This window comes from Homo sapiens, chromosome 4, assembly GCF_000001405.40.
Source record: "Homo sapiens chromosome 4, GRCh38.p14 Primary Assembly".
Taxonomy (NCBI): Eukaryota; Metazoa; Chordata; class Mammalia; order Primates; family Hominidae; genus Homo; species Homo sapiens.
This window is the reverse complement of record NC_000004.12, coordinates 24,304,329-24,329,070: the sequence shown is the minus strand read 5'-3', so window position 1 is coordinate 24,329,070 and position 24,742 is coordinate 24,304,329. Positions and strand designations below refer to the sequence as shown.

At 41.6% G+C, this 24,742-nt stretch overlaps 1 protein-coding gene across 11 annotated transcripts in view, besides 1 other annotated feature; it reads left to right on the top strand.

Moving 5' to 3' along the window:
• Positions 1 to 24,742, top strand: part of PPARGC1A (PPARG coactivator 1 alpha) — a 680,885-nt gene that overhangs the window by 143,835 nt on the left and 512,308 nt on the right. The gene's annotated exons all lie outside the window — the stretch shown is intronic.
• Positions 6,799 to 7,598: an enhancer, noted in NCBI's record as "OCT4-NANOG-H3K27ac hESC enhancer chr4:24323096-24323895 (GRCh37/hg19 assembly coordinates)". NCBI's record gives its function as "activates a minimal SCP1, AML or CMV promoter by ChIP-STARR-seq in primed H9 embryonic stem cells {active_cell/tissue: H9 hESC(primed)}" and the evidence as "EXISTENCE:reporter gene assay evidence [ECO:0000049][PMID:30033119]".

The following is a 24,742-nucleotide window of genomic DNA, read 5'->3' as shown; positions in this document are numbered from 1 at the left end:
AGGAAATCTCTAGATTGCTCCCCAACATAAACTGTTTGCTGGGCAGCCAGGGTCAGCTGTGCCTGCTAAGCTCTCAGACTGACACAGGTGCCCTGTTTGAACTGTGGAAGGTTCAACGGAATTGAAGTGGCCAGTCCGAGGCAGTGTGTTTACTGATACAAGTTTGGTTCCGAGACTATAATTTTCCAGCACCCGTGAAAGCCACCTGCACTAACCAGTTCATGGACTGAATGGCCAAGCAGTGCATGCAGCCAAAAAGGACATTGCTTCCCCTCCACTGCCCTCAAAGAATCAGACCGTTTAAAGCAAACTCCATTCATGCAAGGAGTGGGATTTCTTAGAGATTGGGATGGGGTGGGGTGGAAAAAAAACCCCTCAAGTTGCAAAATAAAACAAAAATACACACGGCCTTCACTGTTTAGTGCCAGTGTTGAATCAAAAGTAGCCTATGCTGGGAAGGGAGATGATGTTAGTTAGGTAAACCCCTTTAACTATCTGCTGGATGGGCTGGTTGTGATTAAATACTTCAAATATTTCCTAGGAGCAGTTTGAGCTGGAAAAATCCTCCCTGCCTAAAGGGTTAAAAATGTGGAACATGTCTTTGAGTGCCTCTTTTCTTTTGTTAATGGGAACTGACATTCCCTACAATCAAATGGGACTGAACCTAATCATATTGTCCATGACAGAAGAAATTAAGGTCTGTGGTAGAAGACATTATAATGCTGACAGAATTTTCATGCTCTCCAAAAGCCCAAATTACTCTGTTTACTAAAATGACGGGTTGGTTGATCTTTGTTTTAATGCTGATTGGGGGGGGGGCTGCTAATTTCTGTTTTGTGGGGAGGGGGTGGCCTTCAGTTTCATGCGCGTCCGTGTGAAGAGACCACCAAATAGGCTTTGTATTAGCAACATGGCTGTTTATTTCACCTGGGTGCAGGCGGGCTGAGTCTGAAAAGAGAGTCAGCGAAGGGAGATAGGGGTGGGGCCGTTTTATAGGATTTGGGAAAGTAATGGAAAATTACAGTCAAAGGGGGTTGTTCTCTGGTGGGCAGGGGCAGGGGTCACAAGGTGCTCAGTGGGGGAGCTTCTGAGCCAGGAGAAGGAAATTCATGGGGTTAATCACTCAGTTAAGGTGGGGCAGGGCCTTTTCACTTCTTTTGTGATTCTTCAGTTACTTCAGGCCATCTGGGCATACACGTGCAAGTCACAGGGGATGCGATGGCTTGGCTTGGGCTCAGAGGCCTGACATTCCTGCCTTCTTATATTAATAAGAAAAATAAAACAAAATAGTGTTGAAGTGTTGGGGCGGCAAAAATTTTTGGGGGTGGTATGGAGAGAGACTGGGTGATGTTTCTCAGGGCTGCTTCAAGCGGGATTAGGGGCGGTATGGGAACGTAGAGTGGGACAGATTAAGCTGAAGGGAGATCTTGTGGTAAGAGGTGATATTGTGGGGTTGTTAGAAGAAACATTTGTCGCATAGGATGATTGGTGATGGCCTGGATACGGTTTTGTATGAATTGAAAAACTAAATGGAATAAGAGAAGGAGAAAAACAGGTATAAAAGGACCAAGAATTGGGAGGACCTAGGACATCTAATTAGAGAGTGCCTAAGGAGATTCAGCATAGTCCTGCCAGCAAAGATTATTTATTTACTTCAAGAGTTAAGAGTGGCAGTTTGGGGATAGCACGAGGAGATATCAGCTGTGAAGGCTTGGAGAAACAGTGTAAACAAGAGCAGGGCATATATGAGTAGTTGAGAACAGTGAATAGGAGTATGACTAGACAGAAGATAGTAGGGATGACAAATTATTTGGGGGCACAGTCTAAGTTGGTCTGGTGTCTGGAATGAGACTGGGGCCTAATAAAAAGGAGCGTCTATACAGGAGCTCAAATGGGCTGTCCCTTGTAGCATTCTGAGGACAGGTCTGACTTCTGAGAAGGGAAAGTGGTAAAAGTATTGTCCAGTCCTTTTTAAGTTGGTGGCTGAGCTTGGTGAGGTGTGTTTTTAATAGACCATTAGTCTGTCACTGAATACTAAGAGCCTGAAAAAATGCTTGGCTGATTTGACTAATAAAGGTTGGTCTGTTATCAGACTGTATAGAGGTGGGAAGCCTAAACTGAGGAATTATGTCTGACAGAAGGGAAGAAATGACTGCGGTGGCCTTCTCAGACCTTGTAGGAAAGGCCTCTAAAAGTATTAAAGCAGCGGCAGCCGCTGCACGCAGACATGAGGGCTAGGCTAAAACAGTAAGGTCAAGTTGTTTGGACAGAAAGGCTACAGGGTGCGGTCCTGGCTCTTGTGTAAGAATTCTGACCGCACTAAACATGCCTAGGAAGGAAAGGAGTTGTTTTGTAAGGGATTGAGGTTTGGGAGATCAGCTGGACACGATCAGTAGGGAGAGCACGTGTGTTTTTACGAGAATTATGCCGAGATAGGTAACAGATGGGGATGAAATTTGGGCTTGACTGAAGTAATGGGGGCTGTCTGTGAAGCCTTGCGGCAGTGCAGCCCAGGTAATTTGCTGAGCCTGATGGGTGTCAGGGTCAGTCCAAGTGAAAGCGAAGAGAGGCTGGGATGACGGGTGCAAAGGAATAGTAAAGAAAGCATGTTTGAGATCCAGAACAGAATAATGGATTGTGGAGGGAGGTATTGAGGATAGGAGAGTATATGGGTTTGGCACCATGGGGTGGATAGGCAAAACAATTTGGTTGATAAGGCGCAGATCCTGAACTAACTTGTAAGGCTTGTCTGGTTTTAAGACAGGTAAAATGGGGGAATTGTAAGGAGAGTTTATAGGCTTCAAAAGGCCATGCTGTAGCAGGCGAGTGATAACAGGCTTTAATCCTTTCAAAGCATGCTGTGGGATGGGATATTGGCATTCAGCGGGGTAAGGGTGATTAGGTTTTAATGAGATGGTAAGGGGTGCATGATCAGTCGCCAAGGAGGGAGTAGAGGTATCTTATACTTGTGGGTTAAGGTGGGAGAATACAAGAGGAGGATGCAAAGGAGGCTTTGGATTGGGAAGAAGGGCATCAATGAGATCAGCGGCTATAGTCCAGGAATAGTCAGGTAAGCAGATAATTTGGTTAAAATATCTCGGCCTAATAAGGGAACTGGGCAGGTGGAGATAACTGAAAAAGAGTGCATAAAAGAGTGTTGTCTAAGTTGGTGCCACCAGAGTTGGGGAGTTTTAAGAGGTTTAGAAGCCTGGCTGTCAATACCCACAATAGTTATGGAGGCAAGGGAAACAGGCCCTTGAAAAGAAGGTAATGTGGAGTGGGTAGCCTCTGTATTGATTAAGAAGGGGACGGACTTACCTTCCACTGTGAGAGTTACTCAAAGCTCGGCATCTGTGGTGGTCTACGGGGCTTCCGAGGCGATCGGGCAGCGTCAGTCTTCAGCCGCTAAGCCGAGAAGGAGTCGGTCAGACAGCTTTAGGCCAGAGTTCCAGGGGCTCTGGGAGTGGCTGCCAGGTGAGTTGAACAGTCCGATTTCCAGTGGGGTCCCGCACAGATGGGACAAGGCTTAGGAGGAATCCTGGGCTGCAGGCATTCCTTGGCCTGGTGGTCAGATTTCTGACACTTGTAGCAAGCTCCTGGGGGAGGAGGTTCTAGAGGAACACCTGGCCCCTGCGGTTCAGGCGTTTGGAAGTTCTTGTGTGCTGGAGATGTGGCTGGGGTTTGTCTCACAGTGGAGGCAAGGAATTGCAACTTTTTTCTATTATTGTACACCTTGAAGGCGAGGTTAATTAAATCCTGTTGTGGGGTTTGAGGGCCGGAATTTAATTTTTGGAGTTTTATTTAATGTCGGGAGCAGATTGGGTAATAAAATGTATATTGAGAATAAGATGGCCTTTTGACCTTTTAGGGTCTAGGGCTGTAAAGCGTCTCAGGGTTGCTGGGGAACGAGCCATGAACTGGGCTGGGTTTTTATATTTGATGAAAAAGAGCCTAAACGCTATCTGATTTGGGATAAAGGAAAAGGAGCATTAACCCTGACTATGCCTTTGGCTCCAGCCACCTTTTTAAGAGTAAATTGCTGGGCAGGTGGGGGAGGGCTAGTCAGAGAATGAAACTGTAAGTCGGACCAGGTGTGAGGAGGGGAGGTGATAAAAAGATTACAGGGTGGAGGAGCGGAGGCTGAGGAATTATTGGGACCTAGCTTGGGCTGGCGAGGAGGGGAGAGGTCAGATGGGTCTGTAGAAAAGGAAGATTATAAAGACTCAGCGACGCTTGGGGTTGGGACTGAGGGGACAGGCGGGAGGGAAAGAAGGATGATTTGGGACGAGTTTCACTGGGCACAGAGACTAGGAAGGGACTGATGTGTAAAAGAATGCCTGGACGTCAGGAACCTCAGACCATTTGCCCATTTTACGACAAGAATTATTTAAATCTTGTAGGATGGAAAAATTGAAAGTGCCATTTTCCGGCTATTTGGAACTACTGTCGAGTTTGTATTGGGGTCAAGCGGCATTGCAGAAGAAAATAAGGCATTTAGGTTTTAGGTCAGGTGTGAGTTGAAGAGGTTTTAAGTTTTTGAGAACACAGGCTAAGGGAGAAGGAGGAGGAATGGAAGGTGGAAGCTTATCCATAGTGAAGGGGCAAGCCCAGAGAAAAGAGTAGAGACACGGAGAAGGGGTGGGGGGTTCTTGCCCTCCAGAAAAGCAGAGAAGGGGTTGGGGCATGGAAATAAGGGATTGGGCACAGAGATAAGAGGTTGTGGTGCGGAAATAAGCGACTGGGGGGTTCTTGCCCCCTAGGGAAGCGGGACTTGCCGCTAAGGGTGAAGGAGAAGGGGTTGAGGGGTACTTGCCCCTGCCCCAGGAAAGGCAGAGAAGGGGTAGAGACAAGGAGAGAAGGGGTTGGGGTACTTGCCTCTTCCCCAGAAAAGCAGGACTTGCCGCTAAGGGTGAAGGACCAAGGCAGGCGTCCCTGCGTGGTTTGACACCCTTGAAACGTGGGTGTATAATCACAGAGGCGTCTCTGCAATGATTAAACACCAAGGGAAAGCTGCCTTCCCAGTCCGTGACCGGCGCCAGAGTTTTGGGTCCACGGACAAAACGTGTCTCTTTTGTCTCTACCAGAAAATGAAAGGAATTGAAATTAAGAGAAGAGAGAGATTGAAGTGTAGCGCCAAGATTGAAAGGAGAAAGAGGTTGAGGGATAGTGAGGGAAGCTGGAGAAGAGAGTAAAAAGAGGCCGCTTACCGGATTTGAAATTGGTGAGATGTTTCTTGGGCTGGTCGGTCTGAGGACCTGAGGTCGTAGGTGGATCTTTCTCACAGAGCAAAGAGCAGGAGGATGGGGGATTGATCTCCCAAGGGAGGTCCCCCGATCCGAGTCACGACACCAAACTTCATGCACGTCCGTGTGAAGAGACCACCAAACAGGCTTTGTGTGAGCAACATGGCTGTTTATTTCACCTGGGTGCAGGCGGGCTGAGTCCGAAAAGAGAGTCAGTGAAGGGAGATAGGGGTGGGGCCATTTTATAGGATTTGGGAAGGTAATGGAAAATTACAGTCAAAGGGGGTTGTTCTCTGGTGGGCAGGGGCAGGGGTCACAAGGTGCTCAGTGGGGGAGCTTCTGAGCCAGGAGAAGGAAACTCATGGGGTTAATCACTCAGTTAAGGTGGGGCAGGAACAAATCACAATGGTGGAATGTCATCAGTTAAGGCGGGGCAGGGCCTTTTCACTTCTTTTGTGATTCTTCAGTTACTTCAGGCCATCTGGGCGTATATGTGCAAGTCACAGGGGATGCGATGGCTTGGCTTGGGCTCAGAGGCCTGACATTCAGTGTTCCCAGAAGCTTCTCATCATTTATCTTCAGATGTGCTTGGACAGATAAATGACTTTTTTGACTAGAAAATCTCCCCCATGCTGTATGACTTCAGGGTTTGGTCTGGCCAAAGGCAGCAGAGAGAACTGACTCATTTTGTTTTTCTCTAAGGCCCGGCATGGTTTCTTCCTTCCCAAATGATCTATTTGGGATCCACCAGCAGTTGAGCCACCCAGAATTTATTCAGCAGAGTACCTGAGGTCCAAACCCATGCTCAAAAAAATTGTTTTTTGATGATGGATGATGTGATAGTATATGCTGCTTTTCCGTTATTATACCGAAGACAATGTAGATAATACAATGATATAATTTGACTACACGTGATGAAGTTGCTATTCAAAATATTGTACAGTGCTTACAACATGAGCATGACCAAAGTGGAGAGTGCAGCCAATCATTGTGGATGGCTGTGCAAACAGCTGGTGTCCCAGTAAGCAGTCGTGGGCTAGTATGTGCTAAAAACCTGACTCTCCCAAAAATCATGAAGCCCTGAGTCATAGTGCATGCTGATTTCTGAGGTAGAAACACTCCCACCACTGCCAGCTTCAAGCCACCAATGTGATATCAGTTGGCTTGCATATTTTCTGCAAATTTAACAATCAGCTCTTGCAAAGCCTATGTAAGCCTGTTCCAGCACAACACTGTCTGTAGCAGGAACATACCAGCTTAACATCATCCCTGCACACACACACTCACATACACATGGATACACAGATACATCCAAGAGGTACTTTTCTCTCTCTGAAAAATGTGAAGTTATAAATGACATATAGAAACAACTCAGCTAGGAATAAAGTGTCTGAGGTGTTACCAGATGAACCATCAGGGTTGTCAAGAGAAAAGCTGCAGTTTGACCATTTTCTGCTTCTCCATTGTAGCGAAGCTACAACTCAAGCTTCGTTTTCAAAATGCATTTCTCACCCAGTGCTTTTCTTTTCTTTTTAAAAAATACTCTTCAACTCGGGGGAAAATAATTTTGTACCCCAGCCACCAGTGAAGCTAGCTCAAAAGTCACTAATTTAAAAAACCATTTTCAGATTTGGTATGTGGGCAAAATAAGCGGAGGCTATAATCAGGAAATTCTGCATAAGAGCAAATGGATTTGAGGCGATTTTAACTCGGTGGGTAACGAATTCTACAGCATTATAGCTGGAATAATTCCTTGCAAGCCTTCTTGGGGAAGCTATGTTCTAAAAATGGTTGATGCTTCTATTAGGTCAGTGTTCTCCATTAATCCATGATCTATTTTAGAAGAAAAAACAATCCCATGTAGCCCGTGAGATTTTTGATTTGAGCACTTCGGTCAGAGGCCGATTATTTCTTTTTTACGAACAAGTCCAGAGTTGCTCCTTGCAAGTGAAGTCCTTACAAAGAATTCTAATAGGCATCCTGCTGAGTTGTTGTCTGTTCTTAAGTCTCTTTTCATTTGAATTGGAAAGAAATAGCAGTCAGCTGAAATACTGGTCTCTGGCAGTGCCCTTTGCAGAGCTAAAGAATAGCAACCAACGTCCATCATCACACATTATGACTAAATCATTTCAGTCAAGTTGCATGTAGCAGATAGATGGTGATTTTCACATTCTGCAGCTTCTGACAAATATTGCCTTATCCATCCGTAAACATCTCTATTGGTGCCTCTCTGGGTTCTGGAAAAGTAGTTCCGGCAGGGTAGCGCTGCGAAGAAATTAAAGTCAGACAAATACTTGTATCATCCTTTTTTGCTTTGATTTCTTTACATATCAAAATTAGTTTCTGATTCCCAGTTGGGAGACAATAATACAGTAGCTCCTAGTGGAAAACCTGTCTTCAGTTATATTTAGCAGGGAAATGAGTCAAACTATTGAGAGACTGCCAGCTTCATCATTATAGGATTATGCATTTTAATAGGACACAAGTTCGCAGGCCTTTGGGTGTGTTAGTTGCGTCATACGCATTTTATTTTTCCAAGCATCCTGAGGCTTGGAATCTACCTAGTTTTTAAAAGCCAGGTGTTGGGTGACCTTTGTTTCTTTTTGCTTCATTTTAATCACTTGATCCTTCTTACACGGTATCATTGAGGATGAGGGAATCGACACCGGCAAATTTAATTTGAAGGGCACCTCTATTTTGGAAGCTTTACAGGATGACTTAGCAGAGAAATTTCCTCTTCTTAGGCGCTGCTTAGATAATTCAGGCTTGCACGAAGAGGAGTCAGGCCCTACACTTGCAACTCTTCATTAGTGCAGCTGGGACTCGGTGAGAGAAAACGGGGACCTGGATATCTTCTTGGACTTGTAAGGCTAATTTTTGGAAACTGCCAAAATAGTTTAGTCATTTCAGAGGACCGTAAGGGCAGGCTTTCTGGGAGCCATTTTCCAGCTGTTGACCTTGTTTGCACAATTTCGATTATTTTCAAAATAATAAAAAGGTATTCAGAAGTTTATTACCCGGCTTCCTATGGTGTTCTGTATATGTTTCTCGTGAATCGAATCTGTAAGAGGGTCTCCTAGGAGTGGTGTTTTTATGTAAAGCTTTTGCACACACACCCAAGAAGAGCTTCACTGAACTTTTTGCAAGAGAGACACCTGTTTACTGGCTTCGGCATCAAAATTCATTTCTCTGTTTTTATATAAGGATGGTCTTTGTTTTCAAAGGACATTCGTTACCCGTTAAAATACTGTATTTTCAAGTTCCTGATGCTTAAACATATTTAGGAAATGTCAAAAAGAGCAAAAACCAAGTCTTCATTTTAAATGCATTGCTTTACGGAGAAAAGGGGGAGTAAGAGAAGGAGTGTGTGTATCATGATTAATATTGAATGCTAAGGTTGTTTACTTTCCTTTGGACTTGGCCAAGTAAATGTAAATCTGGTAGAATAGAATCCATGAGGCATATAATTAATGGTGTGGTGTTTATTTCCTGTGAAGAAACTATATCATTTATTCTAGAATAAAAAAGGAGATACAAACTTTTCTTCCTTCTTGTGATGTGAAACAGAAGATAGATGGTAATTTTAGAAAACATTGCTTAAACCTCCAGGAAACAAAATGTCTCAGGAAGGTTTAAGAGCATTGTGGCAGTGATTCACAGCAAGTACAGATTTTCAAAGGAAATCTACTAGTTAGAAATTTAAGTTTACAAAATAAATGAAGAAATCTCTCTAGTATTCTTTTAAATGGTCCCTTCTCCTCTTGCACCATTCAATTCAGTGTTAGCTATTCTGGTTGTCTGATGTCGGTATTTTCTGCAGTCCTTGTCTTCTATAATGTGAGGCACACCTGTGTCTAGTATGACTCTTAGAAGGCAATTGTCTTTCTTTTTAATGAGCCAGCTTTTTGAGCAACAAATATGAAGAAGAAGGAAAAAAATGACTATGAAATCAGAAACATTCCTGTGGACAGAAAGAGGTACTTTAGAGAAAGGTAACATATCCCTCTTATAGTGAATTCAACTCATTCTGCAACAGCGTAATAGGAGGAAAAAATTTCTTGGAGACCCCGCATGTTTGCCTTGAGTTATGAGTATCAATAACATTAGCCGTAACTGCAGAGAGAACCGTTAGTTGTATGAACATATAATTCTATCAAAAAGTAAAGCTCACTAAGCTACTTGGGGAAAACAGTGTCTACAGTAATGAGTCACCAAAACTCACTGTGTTATGTTAAAAGCCCGTGTTCAACCCATTTATTGTTTTTTTCCTTTTTAATTTCATGGAGTGTTTCCTGGGTCTTGCCTTATGGCCCAAGCTAACTAAGGAGATCCACGTGGCATTTCATGAACCCTCATTTATTCATACTTTGTTCATAGTCTATCTTTCTTGACACTTCTCTGTTTTCATAATGAAGCAACTCTCATCTCAGGACAAAGTTGGTCTTTTCTCAAATGAATGAGTTTCTTTATTTTTATTTTTTGAGGTAGGGTCTCACTCTGTCACCCAGGCTGGAGTACAGTTGAATTGTATAACCATGGCTCATTGTAGCCTCGAACACCTTGGCTCAAGGGATCCCCCCACCTCAGGCTCTGAGTAGCTGGGACGACAGGCATGCACCACACACAGCTAATTTTTTAACTGTTTGTAGAGACAAGGTCTTGCTATGGTGCCCAGGCTTGTCTGGAACTCCTGGCCTCAAGTGATCCTCCTGCCTCTGCCTCCCGAAGTGTGGGATTACAACCGTAAGCCACCGCACTCAGCCGAGTTTCTTTATTTTTTATCTCTTCTTGTTTCTTTTCTGCTCCCAATTCATTTTGTTTGTTTGTTTGTTTGTTTCTCTTTTTGGTCCTGGAGATCTCCCTGTTATCCTCCAACTACAGAAATAGTATTCATTCTTGAAGGTGAGGTTCACATCCTACCTTGTCTGGGAAATTCTTCAAACTTTACTGGCTGTGTCATTAATTTGGCACAGCCAGTTGTATTTTGTTATCTGTTTTTTGTTTGTAAAATCACCAACCAGATTGGAGGTTCTTGAGAGCAGGCATTCAGGGGCCCCCAAATTATACATCGTTGGCTTTATCAGTATTTGCCATTCAATTTATAAAAAGGCTATTCTGATAATATCAGAGACAAAGAAAGGACATAAGGCTGATTTAGGCGATAGCCTGGTAATACTTTTCTGTGCTTTTTTCAGTGCTTAAAAAAATGCTGCATATGGTTTATTGGCACTTTGATGATGCCCGACTAAGAATAGGCATTCTCATGAAACTGTCCGCAGGAATGCTTATAGCTTTCTTTGGAGAAGTTATCACTTATTCTGAACTAAGCAAGTCACCCCAAAATAGCAGAGTGAAAGTACTTACTTTGCCTTTTCTGATGTTCCTTTGGATCTTGGATTGCTCAATTTGGTTAATTCATTTTGTTCCTTCTAGTCTACCTGAATGAACTTCAAGCCAAAGAATTTTAAATGTTTTCACAGATGGTCTCAGAGACCTTAGAAACAGCTTGTGTCATTTCACATTCCATCATTTCACAGATAAAGAAATTGAGGCCCGGAGAAACAGTCATATGTGCAGGCTGGTCTTGGCTTCTTAGTACCCTGCCAGCTCAGTGCTTTCGTCACTATACCAAGTGGTCGCCTGTCATTAGCTACCTGCATTTTTCTATTTACTGTACTTCATTTGACAAATCATTAAAAATAGATAGCACAACACTGGCTTCAGGACTAATCTTTGAGCGGCCCCATTATTTTTAGCTTCCCATGTGGAGAACTGGCTATTTATTCCTGGGCTTTGGTTCCTCTCAGTTAAGAAGGCTTTAATCACGACAGAACTTCACCTTTTACCCCATAGTTACCGACTTGCCTGCCTGGCCTTAATAGCCTCCTATGAGAGAGACCTTCTCAACAGCCTTTAGAAAGTCTAAATAAATTATGCCCACAGATTCCTTTTTATCTGCTGTTTTTAGCACACAATTTTCCCAAACAAAAAACCAGGCCAGAGGGCACGTTCGTCTTGGTAGGTGCTTTGAAATGCCTTGCTGTGGAATTTATTCTTGTGCTTGCGTATAGGTGGATGCTTGTCTGGGTTCGGGGCTGGGGCTGTGGAGAACAGCAGCCACAGCTCTGAAGTGAAAAAAAATCCAGCCCTACAACTGATTTCTCTGTCTACAAGATGCCAGGTGACCAGTTCCACTGCAATTTTTTAGGGCCAGCCCTTTTGGTGGTGGTGTTTTTTTTTTTTTTTTTTTTTTTTTTTTTTTTTTTTTTTTTAGTCCTCTGAACACTGGGCTCCTCAAAGTCACCTCTGCTATGAGGGCTTTTGGACTTCCATTCTTTCATCCCAATCCCCGCTCAGTCCCTAAAGCAAGTAGGAGGATGTCTTTGTTTTTTGAGGCTTCCTGGTTATTGTACAAATGTCTATCATGGAACTGTAGCACCTTTGACATTTCTTTATTTACCTGTGGGTTTCACTGGACTGGTCACACTTTCCCTGCTATATGCCAGTGCCTAGGAGAGTGACTGCCATATAGTCAGGCTCAATCAATGTCTGCCTAGGGAGTGAACTGTGTATCTCCAGTGCTTAGTGTAGGGTTGCAGTATATAGTGTTTGAATGAACACATGAATAAATAGAGTTGAGTTGCAATGGTTAAGGGTAGTATGCCCACTCCTAGCTGAGTAACCATGAGTGAGCTGCTTACCCAACCTCTTTAAGCCTCATCTTCCTCATCTGTATAATGGGGATAATAATAATATTACTTACCTGATAGGGTGATGGTGAGGATTAAGCCATAAAATTCTTAGAACAGTTCTCAGTTACAGTTTGAAATTATTTTATTTTCTGAATCAAAATGATGTAAATTTCCTCTCCCCTCCACCTACACCCATGGCAGAAATGAACATGGATCCTGCTGGAGGGCTGTGGAAGGTAGGGAGATTTGTAGTCATAACTGTTCTGAATTATCCAAGACATAGTGGCTTCAAGAATACCCGAGCTTGTTAGATGACTTTTGAAAACTAGTTACCATTTTCATAGTTCTTACAATGTGCCAGGCAAGTTACATATGCGATGTCATTTATTCCTCAAAACAAATCTTTAAGGATAAGCATTATTCTTCCCATTCTGCAGCTGATGACGTGGAAGCTGAGAGAAGTCAAAGGCCAAGGTCTTGCATGAGTAAATGGCAGAGCCAAGAGTGGGTTTAGGGTCTTGCCATTCTTTCTGTGGGACTGTAAAATGGGCTTTGTCTGATTTTAAAAATATGATTATAAAGCTAATGTGGAGGGTTTTAAAAACCTTATTCTTATATTAATATCTAGGAAAAGTTCATTTGTAGCTAAGGCTCCTCAGCAGCCTAATCCTGCCTCTTCACTTTTGCTTCAAAAGACTGCAGGTTATCGAATAACAAACAGCTCATTAAATAACAATGCAAAGCCAAGCATTTGGACATTGTGCTAATGGAGTCAGAAAGTCTGGTTTAGAATCTTGATGTGGACCCTATACTGAGCCAGCAGCTTGTGAGCTGTGGCTAGTCATTTGGTCCATGCCTGTCTATCCTGGTCTAGCTGTCTCTGCCCATGTAAGATAGAACCCACTGTGGCAGACACATATGGTCTTGACAATTCAGCATCACTTTGGCTGGACGCTTGCATTGGGAGAAGTTGGTGATCTTTCAGATAGACCAACATAGATGAAAACATTCATGGTCCTGAAAATCATTCTGGAATCCAAGAGAAGAAACAAATTGAGCAGAACCGTCACCCCACAAAGGTCAGAATGAAAAGTCTTGGGTCCAGAAGCTGCCCTCTTGGCCTTGTTTATATGGGCATTGGGTGCATGTTGGACTGTGGCTCTTCAAGCAGGCCAAAACTCTTGGATAGGAACTATCCTTTATGAAGAACGGATCTAGAATAGAACCTTTAGATCTGTCCCATGCACTCCAGATTGGGTCTGGCTTTGAATGCCCGGAAAGGACCTGGCAGTCTAATCTACAAATGATGCGAGCCTTAGAAAAGAGTTTCTCAACTGTTGCAGTATTGACATTTGGGACCAGATGACTCCTTGTTGTGGGAGGGTGTCCTGTGCATTCCATTGTAGGATGTTTACCAGCATCCCTGGCTTCTACCCACTAGATGCCAGTAGCGTTTCCTCAGTTGTGACAATGGAAAGATCTCTAGATATTGCTAAATGTCCTCTGGGGTGGGACAAAATTGGCCCTGGTGGAAAACCACTGCTATAGGGTCACTGGCTTGTGAAACTTTGGCTTGGGCAGAGCTAGTCAGGGAAGACTTGGTTTGTGGACACATCTCACCTCTCAGGTGCACTTCTGAGTGCTGTGCAACTAATGCAGAGTCTATTCCTCATGGACTGAATTCTGGAAGATGTTTGGCACCTAACGCTATGCATAAAACACCATGAATTTCCAGCTTCTGCATATCAAGAAAGGCCATTTCCTTCATGTGGCTATACTTCTTAGATAGCAGATACATGGCTTATGACTTCCCCATGCCTCACCCCACACCTACTTTTGTGCTCATGGAGGACATCATGAATCCATCTTAACATTCTTTTCTACTGACACTAGTGGCTTCAGCATCCTTTCAACATAGGTTGCAGGAAGCTGTCATTGTTTAGAATTAGTAAGCAAGTTAGAAGCTGTTTATCATCTCTGGGCTTGACTCTATGAAATCAATTCAAAGAGAACTGTCAAATGTTAAGATGGGTGTGGAAAAGCCTTCTGACCAAAGGCTTTTGGTCTGATCCTTGATTTTTAGTCTCTTTAGATTTCTTTTTTTTTTTTTTTTAAGGTCTGTATGTCTCAGTTATTTGTTCTACAGAATGGAGCCAAACTTTACTGGAAGAAACAGGGATGCCATAAGAGTTATTAATTAACCTTTTTGGGTTTTTAGGTAGTGGAAAGCTGAGAGCCTAAGGAACTGAAGACATCTGTCTAAGTGAGCAGAAGAGACTATTTCTGGCACTACTCTGGGCTTCCAAGGCAAATCTTGAGTTAATTATAGCTCTTGGTACATTCAACAATAATCAACTTAATAAAGTTAAGCTTTGTCTCCAGGTGATGGACAGAACACATTTTTGTTTTTGCAAATTAAAAACAAATAATAAAATATAGTAAGTTCTATGATCAAAACTCTATTATCACCATCCAGAATTGATCATTGTTAACATTTTGTCATACTTACCGCAAATCTTTCTTTTAATTAAAGAAATAGATTGTCTTAGTCCATTTGTGCTGCTATGACAAAATATCTGAAACTGGGTGATTTGTAAACAATAGGAGTTGCTCCGGAGGCTAGGAAGTCCAAGAGCAAGGGGCTGGCTAATTTGGTCTGGTAAGAGCCCATTCCTTATAGATGGCATTGTATAAGTGTCCTCCCATGACAGAAAGGACAGAAGGACAAAGAGGGACTAAGTTAGTTCCCTCCAGCCCTTTTATAAAACACTAATTCACTCATGAGGGCAGAACCCTCATGACTTAATCACTTCCCAAAAGGTTCCACTTCTCAATACCACTGTGATGGGGGTTACATTTCAACATGAATTTTGGAGGGGACAAGAACATTCAAACCATAGCACAGACTTCAAAGATAAAGTGAAATGCTCAGTCCGTTCCTAGTTCCACATGACTGCTGAATCTCTCTAGAGCCATCCCATATTACACATTTATTGTATATCTCACTAGTGCATTTTTTACTCTTTTGTTGACATATGTATGAATCTTTGAACTATTGTTTTAGGTGTTCTTTAAACACTTTTCACATGCAGTTTTTCATGCTGTTTATTTTTTCTTCAATTGCATTTAATTCAAACTGTTATGATTTTGAAGCCTATCCAAGTTGATACATATACATCTAGCTAATTAGAAGTTTACAACTTCTTGTAATTCATTGCATGAACATATTTTATTATCCATTCCTCTATTTATGGACATTTATGTTATCCATTTTTCACTTCTACAAATAATCTTGCAGTGAGCAATCTTGTAATTTCTCCTATGGTTTCTTTAGCATATGTACCTAGCAGTGAAATTGGTGGTTCATTTGACATACACATTTTAAACTTTACTAGATAATATAAATGTTCCATAAAGCTGGTGGCTCCAGTTTAAATTCCTGCTAGCAGTATATGAGAATTTCCAATTGCATACATTCTCAGACGGGCTGGATGAAAGCTCCCTTCTCTTGTTTGACTTTTGATCAACCAGTCTGTTGGGTTGTAATATACTGGCTGGAGGTTTTGCAGTTTGGAGATCAGTCTACCATAGAAACTGAATAAACTTTCCAACCACAGTAGAAATGTAACTTGCCTTGCAGTATACCGCAATGTGAAGCCTTTTACATGGCAAGTGATGAGGCTATAAGGAATCAGAGATTACAGGCATTTTGTGCTTCTGGACTCTGACAGATGCCTCCTGCTTTGGCTGGAACATGGCAAATATCTTCTATCACCGTTTCATGCCTCATGGTTCCTTTTGATGTCTCAATCTGAGCTGGGCCTCTCTTTCACATAATAAGGTTTTTCCTCCCTTTCCCATTATTGCCTTATTCTCCAGTGTGAAAACTGATGCAAATACATTATTTAGTTTCCCTGCAATCTCCTTATCCCTTTGACTATCTCCTTTGTGCACTGCTTGTCTAACCGATTCACTGATCCCTTTGCAGCAGTCTTATTTCTGATGCACTTAAAGAATTTAATATTATTTGTTGTGTTATCATTCGCTGTTTGTTTTCAAACACCATTTTTAATCCCTTCTAATCTACACTTTACATCTCACCTGCTAAAGTTTATTCTTCTATAAGCCTCACACTGGAATGGATTTCAATTTTTTGAAATATCCTTTTTCTTTGGTCTCAATAAGCTTCTGAACTTTGCTGTTTTTTTTTCTTTATGGTAACTGTTTTAATTTTTGTTCTGATGTGACTTTTATTCCTATTAGAGACTTAAAATTTGAAATCTTTCTCTTTCAAGGGATTCTTCATGATAAAATTACTGGAAGAATAGTTTATACTGTTATGTTGTGGAACAAGGCAGTAAACAAATAAAAAACTTCTAAGAAAGTAAATTTGCTTTAGCTAACCACTGTACTTTGTACCACTTGTTAGGTCTTAGTTACAGAGTAGAGAGAGAGAACATGACAGTGAGTCAGTAAGTTGCAATCTTTTTTTTTTTTTTTTTGGTTGATGAAATCCTTTTCCCCCCCACCCCACATTTTTTAGGGTGACTATATTCATAGAATTAAGACAAAGAGAAAAGCAAAACACGAAAGCTGATTTTCTGATAAATAAGAAAATTAAAGAGTTTCTCTGTCTTCTTTGTTGATTCTTCTACAGAACACCCTGAATATTGCCTCAGAGCTCAGTCCTGGGATCCTTTCTCTTCTTCTTTCACCTAAGTGATTCAAACCTAAAAAAAAAAATAGGAAAAAATATCCCTAAATATGTTGAGTTAATTTGGGAATGAAAAATGAGGATTATAGTCCAGGATGAATGGAATGGCAAGCCACAAGTGCGTTTGGTGACGGAGGCTAAAGAGAAGCTTTTATAGGCAAGAAGGGAGAAGTTTAGGTAAACTGCACAGAAACAGAGTTTGGTGGTCCAGAGGCTCAAAGCCAGAGTTGTCATAAGTTCATTGGTGGGGATGTCATTACTGGGCAAGAGTTCTTTTGAGAGTGTCTTATCTGAATTAGTGAGGCTTAAAGAATGTCTAGTGATAAAACTTGTTATAGAGATACACGTATAGGTGCAAAACGTTCAAGCTGTGCAAAGCGGGAGACGAGTGAAGGATGCAAAGGGATTTCCTGTGGGTTCCCGTGGGGGATTGTGGAAGGTCCTTGGAAACAGTTTTTATCTCAGACATGTACAGACGAGCTTCCTCTTCTTCATGGCTTCCCAACCCTATTTTATCTGGGTCTGACAAAAATGATTTCATCCTGATATCTGCAACTTTCACAGTGATTTTATCTAACATTTCTAATCATATATATTAGAACTTCTGATATTGTTCCACATGGCACCGAGACTCTGTTAAATTTTTTCAGTCTTTTTCTCTGTTCAGTTTGCATAACATGTATTGATCTATATTCCAGCTTACCGAATCAGTCCCCTGTCATCTTTATTCTGCTGTTAAACCTATCCATTCTTTTAAGAAAAGAATTATTATTATTTTTTTTGAGATGGAGTCTTGCTCTGTCACCCAGACTGGAGTGCAGTGGTGTGATCTTGGCTCACTGCAAGCTCTGTCTCCCGGGTCCAAGCCATTCTCCTGCCTCAGCCTCCTGAGTAGCTGGGATTATAGGCATCTGCCACTGCGCCCGGCTAATTTTTTGTATTTTTTTTTTAGTAGAGATGGGGTTTCACCGTGTTAGCCAGGATGGTCTCGATCTCCTGACCTCGTGATCCACCCGGCCAAGACCGGGCATGGTGGCTCACGCCTGTAATCCCAGCACTTTGGGAGGCAGAGGCGGGCGGATCATGAGGTCAGGAGATCGAGACCATCCTGGCTAACACGGTGAAACACCGTCGCTACTAAGAATACAAAAAAAATTAGCCGGGCGTGGTGGCGGGCGCCTGTAGTCCCAGCTACTCTGGAGGCTGAGGCAGGAGAATGGCGTGAACCCAGGAGGCGGAGCTTGCAGTGAGCCGAGATCTCGCCACTGCACTCTAGCCTGGGTGACAGAGCAAGACTCTGTCTCAAAAAAAAAAAAAAAAAAAAAAAAAAAAAAAGAATTATTATATAACTTACTATTCTATGTCGTATATCTTAATATTCTCATTTTAGTTGTAGAAATTCTATTTGGTTCTTCTTTGTAGTATTTACTTTTCCTTGTGAGAGATCACATTTACTCATTCATTACAAGCATGCATTCTTTTACCTCATTGAGTCAAGCTGTAATAGTTGCTTTAAAATCAAAGTCTGTTCCAACATTTAAGCCAGCTGTGAGGTTGATTTCCATGGATCGTTTTTCTCTTAATACTAGGTCACACTTCTCTAGTTTTTTATGTGTTGACTAATTCACATCGTATCTCAGATATTGTGAATTTTATGTTGTAGAGATTCTGGATTCTGTTATATTTTTCAAAGAGTGTTTTTCGTTTGTTTGTTTTAGTAGGCAATTAACTCAGTTGAACTCAGTTTTAGTGGGCAATTAACTCAGTTGAACTCACATAGAAAAATTTTTTTTTGGATGCCAGCTGAAATTTCAGTTCTGTTATTTTATCCTTAGGTGATGGGCTTTCAGTTGGCCCCATGCAGTTGTAGTTCAGGGTACTAGAGATTTGCTGTCCTCTGATTCTTCAGACCAGAAAAACAGTTTTTTCTCTCTCTCTTCTTAAATCAGCTACGAACCATAAAATTGCTCCTCTTTACCATCCTGCAGGTAACAGCTATAATATATTCTGGACAAAATACCAAAAACAACTATATGAAGGACCTAGAAAGTAAATCAAACCAGGTAGATTCTAGAGAGGAATTGATACATGGAGAAAGATACTGTCGCTTTGTGACTTTCCCATTTTTGTGGTTTTTAGTTGATCCTAGGTGAGAAACTTAGAAGTGGATCTCTTTAACCCCATGTTTTAAAATACCATCTTTATGATGTTACATGCCACATTTTCAACTCCAACCTGGAACACTCTCTTGAGCTCCACGTGTATACAGCCAAGGCACCTACTCATGATTTCTAACAGGCATCTTGAACACAGGATGCCTAAAATGCATTTTAAAATTTCTCTTTGCGAAATATCTTTCTCCACCCTCATTCTCAATAAATGGAATACCATCCTTCTGGATGTTCAACTAGGAGTCACTCTTGACACATTTTTCCTTACTAATTTTCGCTATTTGACCCATCAGAAAATCCTATTCAATGCTTTACATACTTCATATACATTGAATACATTTACTTTTCTTTACCTCTGTTACCATCACCCTTACCACCATTATCTCTTTCGTTGACATACAATACTCTCTCAGGATTGGTCTTCCTTGCGTTTATCCCATCTCGCCTTCAAACTATTCATCACGCAGCAGCCAGGGTGTTTTTCAAATATAAATCAGATTATGTAGCTGGGCGTGGTGGCACATGCCTATAGTTCTAGCTGCTCAGGAGGCTGAGGCAGGAGGATCCCTTGAGCCCAGGAGTTCAATGCTGCAGTGGGCTATGATCATGCCACTGCACTCCAGCCTGGGTGACAGAGTGAAACCCTGTCTCTAAAAAACTAACTAAATAAAAAGATTATGGGACTTTCTGGGTAGAAACCTTTCAGTGATCTAGATAGATTCCTTGCTCTTAGAATAAAATCTAAGTTTCATGCCATGGTCCACATCGCCATTTGTGATCTAGTTCCTGCCTACCTCTGCAACCTCACCCTGGCCACTTTTCCCATGAGGCTCCAGTCACACTATCCCCCTTGATGTTGAACAGGTTCCAATCTTTCTCACTTCCAGGATTTTACACTTGGGATTTGGATGCATCTTTGCATTACCCCTTTTGCATTACTGACTCCTTCTCCTCCTCCTTTTTAAAATTAAATATCACCTTCTTAAAGCTACCTTGCCTAATCAATCAGGAGAGTTACTTTCTATCTCATCACCTTGTTTTTTTGCCTCAAGGTGTTTGTCATATTTGTAATTGTTTTGCTTATTTACTCCTTTGACATCTTTTTTTTTCTTTCCACACTAAAATATGAACCTTGTGAAAAGCAGTCCTTTTCTGTCTTGACTGCTGTTCTTCCATTGTCTTGATAATACCTACTGAATGAATGAATGAAATCCAGAGTACTGAATTATTTCCTTCTTTAATGTATGAACTCCTTAGCTTTCTAAATTCTTTCTCTTTTCTAACACCTTCTACTCAAATGTTGAAAAAAAAATCACTGATATGGCAGTGATTTTTCCCTATTTGTATCAATCTCCTTTGAGATTTTACCCCCATCCCATTACTAATTAGCTGGATGACTCTGGGTAAGTCATCTTTTTGGGACCCAGTTGTTTTTATCTGTGACACAAGGAAGTAAAATGAAAACTAGCAGTTTTCAATTTTTTAAGGAGTAGGAAACTTCCCTCTCTTTTATTTCAAATGAAGTCTTATGCACAACCTCAAATTGTTCCATTTAAAGCAAGGCAGGAGGCCTAGAGCCCTTCCTCTCACCCTCACACTTGACCCATGAGACACCTCTGGAAGACCCAAGACTCTCTGAATGCAGCCTGGAAGCTGTTGCCCTTTCAACTTGAGCAGCCTCTGGCTTCATAACATGATCAATATTTCTGAGATGAACTCTAGGTAAATAAATCCCATGCTATCCACTGTGGTAAAGGGTATGATTAATTCCTCTGTGCAACATACATTGAAAAATATCTGTGCTTGTTAAAAAAATTAAGGCAAGAAATATAGCCTCTAACTCAGCAAAACTAAATAAAAGTTAACCTGATTCAAATGTACCTCTAAGAAGACATGCTTTCCAAACTGATTTCTTTTCTTTCTTTTTTCTTTTCTCTTTTTTTTTTTTTTTTTTTTTCGGTGGCAGAGTCTCACTCTGTCACCCAGTCTGAAGTACAGTGGTGTGATCTCTGCTCACTGCAACCTCCACCTCCCAGGTTCAAGAGATTGTCCTGCCTCAGCCTTCCCAGTAGCTGAGATTACAGGCATGTGCCACCACACCTGGCTAATTTTTGTATTTTTAGTACAGATGGGGTTTAATCATGTTGGCCAGGCTGGTCTCAAACTCCTGACCTCAAGTGACCCACACGCCTTGGCCTCTCAAAGTTCTGGGGTTACAGGCATGAGCCACCGCACCCAGCCCGATCTGATTTCTTTTTAAAACTTAAATTTCCTGAGGTTATAGTTGTGCTCCTTGTTAGTTGGGAAAGGCAGGAGTTTAGGCATCATGGCTTTGGAGCAAGGGTCCATGTCTCTCCCCATTCCCCAAAGGGTGACGGAAAGAATATCACTGCTATGAGACTGTCTTGGGTATTCATTTAAAAAGCAGGGCAGGTTAGTGGAAAAAGCCGGGACTAGAAATGAGGGTGGGCTCGAGAGTCAGCTGGGACTCTGGTTCCTGTTAATTAACGTCTCAAACACACTTCATCTTCCGAACCAGATCCTCTGCTGGTACTGAATCAAGACTTCCTTTTCTTCTTATATACCTGTGGTCCTCAGAGAATCTGCCTTTATAGACTCATGGTAGCTTTTTAGTCTTTAAGTGCTTCACAAGGACTCTTAACTCTCCTAATTCTTCCTTGCCTCCTCTTATTTTGGGGATAGCTAAGCTTCTTGAGGCCAAGGAAGGGTAATAGAGTTGCCTCAAATTCCCAAGAGTGCTCAACACAATGCCAGGCATACACCATGTGCCTTTGATATTGTGCAGTTCACACAAATATGTACAAAAGTGTGTTTTTCTCTTTATAATAGTAATATACATTGCACAAAATTTAATTTTGCAATATATATTACAGTGTAGATTTTACATCCAAAGGATGTGAAAAATACCAGAATACAATTTTTGTATTCCAAGGGTCACTTGGGGGAGAGCTGCCCCAAATGTCTTGACAAGATGGGTGAAATCTGTGTTTCACAACCTGTGGAACCCTGATCCCCTTTCCATGGTACTGCTGTAGAGACTTGGGTATGTATTGCAGGACCACTGCTAGTGATTATAGTCATAGCCCATAAAAGGGGAGCCAGGCCAGTGGACTGGAAATTTATAGATGACTTGAATTTTTAAATAGAAGAATTAACTGGATTTTGGAAATTCTACAAACCAGTGAATATCCCATCAATCTTAAGACAAAAAAGTAGTAAAATTCTAGAGATTTAAGTAGCTAGTTATTGAATAGTAATAATGAAAGCGATTCAATTTTTCAGTACCCTGGATCCTCTTAAAAGTATGTTTAGTGACAATGGTAACATTTTGTTTGAAATGTTAGCAAGAAGTACACTTTATAAAAGCCCTTTGTGGTTTCCCAGTGTTTTGTGGCCAATATTTAGCTGTTCCACCTTCCTCCTTCCTATTACTACTTTGTAGAGGGTCTAGATCAGGGGTGAGCAAGCTATGACCTGCAGGTCAAATCTGGCCTGCCACCTGTTTCTGTAAATAACACTTTATTACCATGCTGCCATGGTCATTTGTGTATATATTGTCTTTGATTGCTTTTGTACTACAATGTAGATTTGAGTAGCTGCAACTGTGTAGCCTGCAAAACCTAAAATATTTTCAATCAAGCCGTATATCACCAAGTTTGCCATCCTCTGGTGTAGATAATTACTCAGAATTTGCAGATAAGGTACTACTATGCTGGATGTTCACTATGCTGTCCAAGGTCTTGGAGTAAACCTATGACCCAGTCATAATCCCAATGGGCCTACTGATTTTGTCCTTTTTAGTCATCTGCTTCTGTCTTGATTGCTGTTCTTCCATTGTCTTCATAATACCTATTGAATGAATGAATGAAACCCAGAGTACTGAACTGTTTCCTTCTTTAATGTATGAACTCCTCTAAATTCTTTCTCTTTTCTAACACCTTGTGCTCAAATGTTGAAAAAAAAATCACTGATGTGACCATGATTTTCCCTGTTTGTGTCAGTCTCTTTTGAGATTTTACCCCCATCCCATTTTTAATTAGCTGGATGACTCTGGGTAAGTCTCTCGTCTTCTTGGGACCCAGTTGTTTTTATCTGGGACTGTGGATTGTGCATCCGGAATCTGCTCCTGGAATTCTGTGGAATCTGCTTCTGTGGATTGTGTTCTCGTAACTCATAGATACTGACTGCTCCCCAGGTCTTCTGTTTTTGGTGTCATTCAGATTTCTTCCATAGGATGAGGGTACATCCCTGCTTTAATGTGGTCATCTCCTTCAGCCCATCTTCAGATGTTGTACAAACCCAGCCAGCTAGATATCCTTTCAATTGTATGTACCTGTGGGATTGTGAAACTACCCAGGGCACGAGGACCCAGGCATCCCAATAATGATAATGGCCACCCTCTTTTTAAATTTTTTTTGAGATGTAGTTTCGCTCTTGTTGCCCAGGCTGGAGTGCAGTGGCATGATCTTGGCTTACTGCAACCTCCGCCTCCTGGGTTCAAGTGATTCTCCTGCCTCAGCCTCCCGATTAGTTGGGATTACAGACATGTGCCACCACATCCGGCTAATTTTGTATTTTTAGTAGAGATAGGGTGTCTCCATGTTGGTCAGGCTGGTCTCGAACTCCCAACTTCAGGTGATCCACCTGCCTCGGCTTCCCAAAGTGCTGGGATTACAGGCATGAGCCACTGCACCTGGCAATGGCCACCATCTTTTAAGCGGTAGCAGATCTCATGCCAGTCATGTAATTTCCATTATTACAGTTCTGACTAACACTTTGCAACGTAGATGTTAGTATTCATATTTTATAGATCAGGAAATGGAGACTGAGTGTTTAATTAATGTGCCCAAAGTCACACAGATAGTGAATGGAAAAGCCAAATTAAAATACAGATCTGTTTCACTCTCAAAGTCATGTTTTTTGTTTGTTTGTTTGTTTTTCTGCCATACACCCTGCTTCTTAGATATCATATATATATTATATATATGATCATGCTATCACTAAGAAAATTATGGCAAAAAAACCACGACTTTGGGAGTATATAAATATACACACACACACACATATATATGTGTGTATGTATATATATATATATACATACACATATATGTATGTATTCTGTTTTACAGTGCCCCAAACAACCACCATTCTTATGTATATTATCTCATTTAATTGATTTTGATCCTTGCAACAACCTACTTGACTGTAAGTTTCAAGAGGGCAGGGACTTTGTCTGACTTATCCATCTTCAGCCATAATAACTTCATACCTGGCGCGGGGTTTGCCACATAGTAGATGCTTAGCAATATTTTATTGAATGAGCAAGTTGGCTTTCTGTCCTTCTTTATTCTTTCTTAAAAGCCGATAACCCATGACTTTGCCTTAGACCTTCCTTTATCATGTGAGCTCTTTATAAGATATATACCTTCCTTATAATGAAGGAGGCCATGTTTCTCCATTTGCCAGGGATAGTTTCAGTCTGCTCCTGTTGTTTTGGTATACTTTTTAATAACATCCCCCTCATTCCCAAAAGTGTCCTGATTCGGTCAGTGAAACAAGTGGTCATCCAAGTGAGACACTGAAACTGTTGCTGAGCACAGGAGGGTTGAATTTGGAGGTCTGATGGAGAGGTGGTTACAGGTATAGACTCTGGAGCCAGACCACCTGGGTTTGAATCCCAGCTCAGCCATGCATTTGCTGTGCGAGTTGGTCAAGTAATTTAACCTTTCTGTGTCTCCAACCCCTCTTGGTGATAAGACTAAGACCTGCTTCACAGGATTGCTGGTGGGGATGAAATTAAATTAAACAACCATGCAAAGTGCTTACAAAAATTCCGGGGTCATTGTAAGGACTTTAAGTGACAGCTGTTAGGAGTACCCCATTCTCACAAGTTATAATAAG